The sequence below is a fragment of the Homo sapiens genome, chromosome X, assembly GCF_000001405.40.
Source record: "Homo sapiens chromosome X, GRCh38.p14 Primary Assembly".
Classification (NCBI taxonomy): Eukaryota; Metazoa; Chordata; class Mammalia; order Primates; family Hominidae; genus Homo; species Homo sapiens.
Genome location: NC_000023.11, coordinates 41,379,485 through 41,388,831, shown reverse-complemented (window position 1 = coordinate 41,388,831; position 9,347 = coordinate 41,379,485). Strand labels below are relative to the sequence as shown.

At 49.2% G+C, this 9,347-nt stretch overlaps 2 annotated features.

Annotated features, from left to right (window-relative positions):
- Window positions 2,812–3,329: an enhancer, noted in NCBI's record as "H3K27ac hESC enhancer chrX:41244756-41245273 (GRCh37/hg19 assembly coordinates)". NCBI's record gives its function as "activates a minimal SCP1, AML or CMV promoter by ChIP-STARR-seq in primed H9 embryonic stem cells {active_cell/tissue: H9 hESC(primed)}" and the evidence as "EXISTENCE:reporter gene assay evidence [ECO:0000049][PMID:30033119]".
- Window positions 6,802–7,096: an enhancer, noted in NCBI's record as "tiled region #15169; HepG2 Activating DNase unmatched - State 5:Enh, and K562 Activating DNase unmatched - State 8:EnhW". NCBI's record gives its function as "activates a minimal TATA promoter and a strong SV40 promoter by Sharpr-MPRA in HepG2 and K562 cells {active_cell/tissue: HepG2 | K562}" and the evidence as "EXISTENCE:reporter gene assay evidence [ECO:0000049][PMID:27701403]".

Here is a 9,347-nt window from a genome sequence, read left to right as displayed (position 1 = left end):
CGGAACCTCGGGCCCCCATCACAAGGATCAGCTGGCATGTAAACCTCAGATAACGGGGAACTGAAGGTTGAACTCTGACCTCTGCTCTAAATTTCTTTTTGAGGGGCCCAGAGGAGGTCATGTCCACAAGCAAGAGTGAACATTCCTTTCTGTTGATCTCAAAGTTTTAGACAAAGCTTCACCTCCTTAACTAATCGTTAATCAGAAAATCTCTGAATCCTGGCTGGGCCCGGTGGCTCACGCCTATAATCCTAGCACTTTGGGAGGCCGAGGCGGGCAGATCACTTGAGGTCAGGAGTTCGAGACCAGCCTGGCCAACATGGTGAAACCTCCGTCTCTACTAAAAATACAAAAATTAGACAGGCATGATGGCGCGGACCTGTAATCCCAGCTGCTCGGGAGGTTGAGGCACGAGAATCACTTGAACCCGGGAGGCGGAGGTTGCAGTGAGCCGAGAACGTGCCACTGCACTCTAGCCTGGGCAACAGACGGAGACTCTGTATCAAAAAAAAAAAAAAAAAAAAAAAAAAGAAAATCTCTGAATCCACCTACGACCTGTGCCCCCACCCCCACAATCCCGGGACTTGAGGATGTCCTGCCTTGATTTATGACTTTGCCTGTAACCTCTACCTCTTTGCCTTTAAAAACCCTTACCTGTAAGTCATCATGGAGTTCCAGTCTCAAGCATTAGCTGGCCAATTCTCCTGGCTTGGTGTCCTGCAATAAATGTCTCACTTTCGCTGCTATCCCGATGTCAGTGTTTGGCTTTGCTGCTCCAGGCAAGTGGGCCCTAGTTTGGTTCACTAATGTGACCATGTAATCTGGTGCCAGTTTCCTCTTTAGACTGTAAATTGGATCTTCTCTCTCCAGTTCCCTGTCAAGGCTTTGGCCTAGACCCTCATCATTTCATTTCTGGATTCCTGCCCCAGTTTCTCAATCAGCCTTTTATTGCTAGTCATTGCTTCTGAGACATTTTTCCATAAATGCCAGGCTATTCCTTCTCAAACTCTACTTTCTTCATGTCGTCGCAATGGCCTTTGGCTCCATATCCCCTGCCGCAATGCTCCTGGATTTTTGTTTTTTATTTTTTATTTATCTTTTTAGTTTTTTGAGACGGAGTCTAGCTCTGTCTCCCAGGCTGGAGTGCAATGGCACCGTCTCGGCTCACTGCAACCTCCACCTCCCGGGTTCAAGTGATTCTCCTGCCTCAGCCTCCCAAGTAGCTGGGATTATAGGTGTGAGCCACTGTGCCCGGCCTATTCTGGACATTTTATATAAATGGAATCATACAATATATAATATGTGACCTTTGTATCCATAAACTTAACTAACAGGTCTTCAAGTTTCGCCAGTGTTATGGCATGTATCAATACTTCATTCCTTTTCACTGATGAATCATATTCTACTGTTTGGATATACCACATTTTGTTTATCCATTTGTCACTTGATGGTGTCAACCTAAAAGGAAGAAGCTGGGGCAAAATGAATATACGTAGAGAGTTTATTTGGGCCAAGCTTTAAAATTGTTATCTGAGAGCACAGATTCAGGTTGCCCTGAACATAACATTCTGCCTAGCAGCAGTTACAAGTGGATTTTTTTTTTTTTTTTGGAGACCAAGTTTTGCTCTGTTGCCCAGGCTGGAGTGCAGTGGCGTGATCTCAGCTCACTGCAACCTCCACCTCCCTCCCAGGTTCAAGAGATTCTCCTGACTCAGCCTCCTGAGTAGCTGCGATTACAGGCACACGCCACCATGCCCAGCTAACTTTTGTTTGTTTGTTTGTTTTTAACTTTTGTATTTTGAGTAGAGACGGGGTTTTGCCATGTTTGGCCAGGTTAGTCTGGAAGTCCTGGCCTCAAGTGATCCACCTGCCTAGGCTTCCCAAACTGCTGGGATTACATGCGTGAGCCACCGTGCCAGGCCTACAAGTGGATTTTTAAAGTAAAAATTTGTCTTTATATCACAAATCCCAGGTACATGAAGATAATAGGTGAGCCAGCTAGTCAGGAACAAAGTGACTTTAAACAATTGTCCCCAGGCATGCGGTGGGGGCTGGGGAGATGATGACTGAAGTCCCTATTCATGTCTCTCTGGGCCTGCTCTGAGCTATTTTTCTTTTCTCAGTAGACAATTGGGTTGTTTCCAATTTGGGGCTATTATGAATAATGCTGCTGTGAACACTCGTGTAGGAGTTTTATGCGTACATACGTCTCATTTCTCTTGGGTAGATACCTAGCGTGAAAGAAAAATGGAACTCCAACTCACTATGCCAAAGGGAAAGTTAAGCTTGGGAACTGAGTCATGCAAAAACTGCTTTCCTTTCATTCTCAAACAGATAGCTGTAATTTCACTTGCTTACTTTACCTTATGTAAAATGTAGATTTACTGAGCAGGGGAGGAATGCATAGTTGACTCCCTCCCCTTCCCCTTTCTTTTCACATGTAAAATGTAGATTCACAGTCTCATAAGAATGTAACCAGGTGCCTCATTGCCTACCCACCTTGTTTTTTTTTCTTCCCCTCCTGCTTGCCCTTTCCCCTTTATTTATTTTTTATTTATTTATTGTTATTATTATTTTTTGAGATGGAGTCTTCCTCTGTCGCCCTGGCTGGAGTGCAGTAGTGCAATCTTGGCTCACTGCAACTGCTGCCTCCCAGGTTCAAACAACTCTCGCACCTCAGCCTCCTGAGTAGCTAGAATTACAGGCGTGTACCACCATGACCGTCTAATTTTTGTATTTTTAGTAGAGATGGGGTATCACCATGTTGGCCAGGCTGGTCTTGAACTCCTGACCTCAAGTGATCTGCCAGCCTAGGCCTCCCAAAGTGCTGGGATTACAAGAGTGAGCCACCCACCACGCCTGGCCCTTTCCCCTTTATTTTTCATTTATTTTTATTTTTATTTATTTATTTATTTATTTTTTTGAGACAGGCTCTCATTCTGATGCCCAGGCTGGAATGCAGTGGCATGATCTTGGCTCACTGCAACCTCTACCACCTGTGCTCAGGTGATCCTCCCACCTCAGCCTCCTGAGCAGCTGGGACCACAGGCATGCATCACCACGCCCGGCTAATTTTTTTTTTTTTTTTTTTGGAGACAGAATCTCACTCTGTCACCCAGGCTAGAGTGCAGTGGCGCCATCTTGGCTCACTGCAACCTCCTCCCCCAGGTTCAAGCAACTCTCCTGCCTCAGCCTCCCAAGTAGCTGGGATTACAGGTGTCTGCACCACGCCCAGCTAATTTTTGTATTTTTAGTAGAGACAGGGTTTCACCATCTTGGCCAGGCTGATCTTGAACCCCTGATCTCATGATCCACCCTCCTCGGCCTCCCAAAGTGCTGGGATTACAGGCGTGAGCCACCATGCCCAGCCAATTTTTGTATTTTTAGTAGAGAGGAGGTTTTGCCAAGTTGCCCTGGCTGGTCTTGGACTCCTGGGCTCAAGCGATCCTCCTGCCTTGGCCTCCCAAAGTGCTGGGATTACAGGCCTGAGCCACCACACCCGGCTGTTCTTTCCCCTTTAAATACTGAAGTTCCCAAACCCTCTTTGGAAAAAGCACAGGACACAGATTCTACTGTGACTTGTGTTTTTTTTTCCCCCAGACATGTCCTCAACCTTGGCTAAATAAACCTCTAAATTCGTTGAAACCTGTCTCAGTCGTTTGTTGTTGTTGTTTTTGAGACAGAGTCTCATTCTGTCGCAGGCTGTAGTGCAGTAACACCATCGTGGCTCACTGCAGCCTCTGCCTCCCGGGCTCAAGGAATTCTGTTGCCTCAGCCTCACAAGTAGCTGGAATTACAGGTGTGAGCCACCACACCCGGCTAATTTTGTATTTTTAGTAGAGACGGGGTTTCGCCATGTTGCCCAGGCTGGTCTCAAACTCCTGGCCTCAAGTGATCCGCCGGCCTCAAGTGATCCGCCTGCCTCAGCCTCCCGAAGCGCTGGGATTACAGGCGTGAGCCACGAAGGCCTGCCATCAGTCAGTTTTTGATTTACACTAAAAGTGGAATTGCTGGGGCGTATGGTAACTCTATGTTTAACCTTTTGAGGAACCACCAAACTGTTTTTCTTTTTTTTTTTTTAGTATTTATTGATCATTCTTGGGTGTTTCTCGCAGAGGGGGATTTGGCAGGGTCATAGGACAATAGTGGAGGGAAGGTCAGCAGATAAACAAGTGAACAAGGGTCTCTGGTTTTCCTAGGAGTTTTTCAAAGCGGCTGCAACATTTAGCAATCCCTCCCACAATGCATGAGGGATCCAGTCTCTCCACGTCTTTGGCATGTGTATTTCTGCCTTTCTTCACAGGTGTGAACAACATCAAGCATCCCTGTGCTGAGCTCAGAAGCCCTGTCTACCATCCTGAGAATTACCTGGGACTGCTCTGAGATGTTGGGTGGCCCTGGACTAGGTCATCTTCCCCAGAGAGCCCTAGGGTGGGGAGGGTGGAAATGGCGTACTTATGGGTGTGATCATTGCTAAAGGAATTAATCAGGGCAGTCCCAGTGCTAAAACTAAAGGTCCAAGAAACTGAGCGATTAGAGATATTTAGGAGGAAGTAGCTGGGGTGGGGGCAGGGCCTGAGAGCAAGCCAGGTCCTGACTCAGCCTCTGAGCGCCTACTTGACTGTGATTGCGTCACCTACCCTCCCCAGCGCAGCTCTGATATGTTAAAAAAAAAAAAAAAAAAAAAAAAAAACACGCAGTGGTTCACTCCTGTAATCCCAGCACTTTGGGAGGCTGAGGCAGGTGGATCGGATCACCTGAGCTCGGGAGTTTGAGACCAGCCTGGCCAACGTGGTGAAACCCCGTCTCTACTAAAAATACAAAAATTAGCCGAGCGTGGTGATGGGCACCTGTAATCCCAGCTACTTGGGAGGCTGAGGCAGGAGAATCACTTGAACCCGGGAGGCGGAGGTTGCAGTGAGCCGAGATCTTGCCACCGCACTCCAGCCTGGGCGACAGAGCAAGACTCCGCCTCAAAAAAAAAAAGACGATTGTATCTACTCCCTCCTATTCCCATCCCCAGAAGGATGCTGTGAAGTTAAAATGAGCCTGCCAACAGCATCTGGTGCTAGTTGTGGGCAACTCATATATTCTCATGGTATTATCTCTGTCGTGTCCTTGGTGGGAACGGGAGGGCATGGTTGATGGGACAGGCGATGCCACAATCTTCTGGACTGATCCAGCAGTTTTGATTCTTAACAAAAGTAGCAGCCACGGCTTCCATCTCTGCTGCTCCCTCTCCACCCCCAGGCTGAAGGGACTAAAATAAACAGGAAGTTTCCATTTCACCCAGATCTCATGGAGCTGTGTGACTTTTGCTGTCGGGTATCTTATCTCTCTGGAAGGAACCTTTCAGCCTGAGGTGTGGCTACCTTTGTACTTGGTGCAATGCTTCATCTGTTTTTTTTGTTTGTTTTTTTTTTTTTTTTTTTGCCTAAATAACTTCCTGTCTAGAAGTGGTTATAGCTTCCCACCCCCACCCCACTTTTACAACACAGCAGGGACAGACAGGTGCTGAAATCAAAGGGTTAGAATTCATATCAAAGCCCAGCATCCAGGATCTTGTTGCAAATAGAGACTGAGCTGTGTGTGTGGGTAGAGGCCAACAGTTGTTACTCAGAAGCTCAGTTCCGGGGAACAGAAGGAGGGTGTTTTTGTTTTTGTTTTACCAGAGTGAGTGAAATCTTGGTCCCTTGAGATTTCCATGTAAAAATCTCAAAGCTTGTTTATTTGCCCCGTCCCTAATGGGCACCCTTTGGGGTAGGTCAGAGTAGAGACTGGTTTTCTTTGTCCCTGGGCTTGTCACCAAGTCCCAGCAAAGACTGAGCTAGGGCCACCATGTGTCCCTGGCCTGATGTTAGCCAAAAAGCAGAAGAGAGAAGGGGTGACTGGTGTACATAGGAATTTTTGTTTGGGGTTTTTTCTGCCGTGTTTTAAAGAACAGCAAATCCCTGAAATGGGTCCATGGGTCCATGTGAAACTATTCATTGAGAATGAACGGTTGTTCACCTCGGAGAGCCGTCACATCCTTCTCGGCCACCGCAGGTCACCCTCTCCTACCTCCTGGAATTGGATTCTTAGGCTGAGATGAGCCAATGGTGTAGGCTCATTTGTGGCTTTGGAATTAAGGCTTTTTTTTTTTTTTTTTTTTTTGAGACAGAGTTTCACTCTTGCCACCCAGGCTGGAGGTCAATGGCATGAGCTCAGCTCCCTCAACCTCCACCTCCCGGGTTCAAGCGATTCTCCTGCCTCAGCGTCCAGAGCAGCTGGGATTATAGGCGCGCTACCAAGCCCGGCTAATTTTTGTATTTTTAGTAGAGACGGGGTTTCACCATGTTCAGCAGGCTGGTCTTGAACTCCTGACTTCAGGTGATCCGCCTGCCTCGTCCTCCCAAAGTGCTGGGATTACAGGTGTGAGCCACTGCGCTCGGCTGGCTTTTTTTTTTTTTTTTTTTTGAGACGGAGTCTCGCTCTGTCGCCCAGGCTGGAGTGCAGTGGCGCGATCTCTGCTCACCGCAAGCTCAGCCTCCCGGGTTCACGCGGTTCTCCTGCCTCAGCCTCCCGAGTAGCTGGGACTACAGGCGCCCGCCACCACACCCGGCTAATTTTTGTATTTTTAGTAGAGACGGGGTTTCACTGTGTTAGCCAGGAAGGTCTCGATCTCCTGACCTCGTGATCCGCCCGCCTCGGCCTCCCAAAGTGCTGGGATTACAGGTGTGAGCCATGGCGCCCGGCTTTTTTTTTTTTTTAATAGAAAAACTAAACACTTCTTCATGGGCTGCTGCCCAAGTCTTTGCTAAATTTTGTTAAGCCCTTATGTTTATCGTGTCATCTCATCCAGACGTCAGTCATAAACATGCCCATCTGAACTCCTGATCCTCTCTTTTCCAGAAATGGGATGAGTCACCCAGTTCGTCAGCCTTCCTCTTTCAGAAGCCAGTGAGAGTGTGGCTAGAGGGGACTCTGCCCCGAGGGAACACCAGGCAGTGGCCTCTGACCCAGGCCTGCCCTGCAGTACTCAGCTTTCCAGAACAAAGAGTTCCAGTCCCAGTGGGGGACGGGGGCCTTTGTTCATGACTGGGAGAATCAAGAGAACTGCCTAAGAGGGCCCAGAAATTTCCCAGAGCTCTGAGCAAAGTGAGGAAGGGCATCCTTGCTCCAGATGAACCCACCAGGTCGCCCCTAAAGAAAAAAGGCCACGAGGCCAGGCCTGGTGGCTCAAGCCTGTAATTCCAGCTCTTTGGGAGGCAGAGGAGGGCGAATCACAAGGTCAGGAGTTTGAGACCAGCCTAGCCAACATGGTGAAACCCCGTCTCTACTAAAAATACAAAAAATTAGCTGGGCGTAGTGGCGGGCGCCTGTAATCCCAGCTACTCGGGAGGCTGAGGCAGAATTGCTTGAACTTGGGAGGTGGAGGTTGCAGTGAGCCGAGACCTCGCCACTACACTCCAGCCCGGGCAACAGAGTGAGACTCCGTCTCAAAAAAAAAAAACGGCCGGGCATGGTGGCTCACGCCTGTAATTCCAGCACTTCGGGAGGCCAGGGCGGGCAGATCACCTGAGGTCGGGAGTTCAAGACCAGCCTGACCAACATGGAGAAACCCTGTCTCTACTAAAAATACAAAAGTAGCCGGGCATGGTGGCAAATGCCTGTAATCCCAGCTACTGGGGAGGCTGAGGCAGGAGAATTGCTTGAACCTGGGAGGCGGAGGATGCGGTGAGCCGAGATCACGCCATTGCACTCCAGCCTGGGCAACAAGAGCGAAACTCCATCTCAAAAAAAAAAGAGAGAGAGAGAGAAAAGAGGCCACAAGGGATTCTGGCCTCGCCCCCAGGGCCATGTCCTGGGGAAACAGTCAGTTTGAGAAAGGGCTTGGAACTGGAGGGAGAAGGCCTCAGGAAAGCCCAATGTGCACCTTGTCTTTGCTCTGGGCTTGCCTCGGGTCAGCCCTCAAACCTCACCCAGGCCCAGGCAGGGACTGGGGGTGGTGAGAATCGAACCCTGAATGCACTCACACCGAGCCGCCCCTGAAGCTTCAGCATGAGGCCCACACAGGCCTCATTCCCGTGCAGCATCTGCCTGTTTCTCCCAGGAGCCCTGCCCACCCAGTTGGGCTGGTTGGTGGCCACTCCCTCCCCAAGGGCAGTTTCTCACAGACACTAGCATCCCTCACCTGGCACTGCCAACCCTCAGACTCCAGGGCATTGTCCGTAATGGTGATGGTTGGGAGATAGCTCTGGAAAATAACTGGAGTTTAAAAATAACTAGCCAGGGCCAGGCACAGTGGCTAATGCCTGTAATCCCAGCACTTTGGGGAGCCAAGGTGGGTGGGTCACCTAATGTCAGGAGTTTGAGACCAGCCTGGCCAACATGGTGAAACCCCATCTCTACTAAAAATACAAAAAAACTGGCTGGGCAAGGTGGCTCATGCCTGTAATGCCAGCACTTTGGGAGGCCAAGGCGGGAAGATCACGAGGTCAGGAGATCGAGACCATCCTGGCTAACACGGTGAAACCCCGCCTTTACTAAAAATACAAAAAATTAGCCGGGCATGGTGGCGGGCACCTATAGTCCCAGCTACTCAGGAGGCTGAGGCAGAAGAATGGCGTGAACCCATGAGGCGGAGCTTGCAGTGAGCTGAGATTGCGCACTGCACTCCAGCCTGGGCGACAGAGCGAGACTCCATCTCAAGAAAAAAAAAAAAAAATTAGCCAGGTACGGTGGTGCGCGCCTATAGTCCCAGCTATGAGGAGGCTGAGGCAAGAGAATCGCTTGAACCTGGGAGGCGGAGGTTGTAGTGAGCCGAGATCATGCCACTGCACTCCAGCCTGGGCAACAGAGTGAGACTGTCTCAAAATAAATAAATAAATAAAATAAAAAAATAACTAGCTAGTGCCACCCAACCCACCTCCCCAGCTCCCTGCCCAGCTGTGTAGCAAGGGGACAGAGCCTCATTTTCCAGAAAGTGAATTCATAGGCTAATGATGCCAACTCAAGTCAGAGGGTTCTGAGAAGGCTACTGAGAGCCTCTCAGCCATTTCTCTGCCATGAGGGCAGCACCGTCCCAACCCAGAGGGGGCACTGGGACCATGGCAGGTCTTGGCCTCTAAGGCTGATGTTCCTCAGAGATGATATGGGCAGATAATGGCTCTGCTGTCCAGAGATTGTCATGATGATCAAAGGAGATCATGTGAAGGAACTCTCAGGAGTTCAGGAATGTTCTGTAGCTTGATCTTGGTGTGGGTTACCTGGGTGTGTATGTGTGGTAAAATTCATTAGGGTCATCACTTAAAATTTATGCACTTTGTTATATGTAAATAATATCTCAATAAAGTCCACTTGGCATG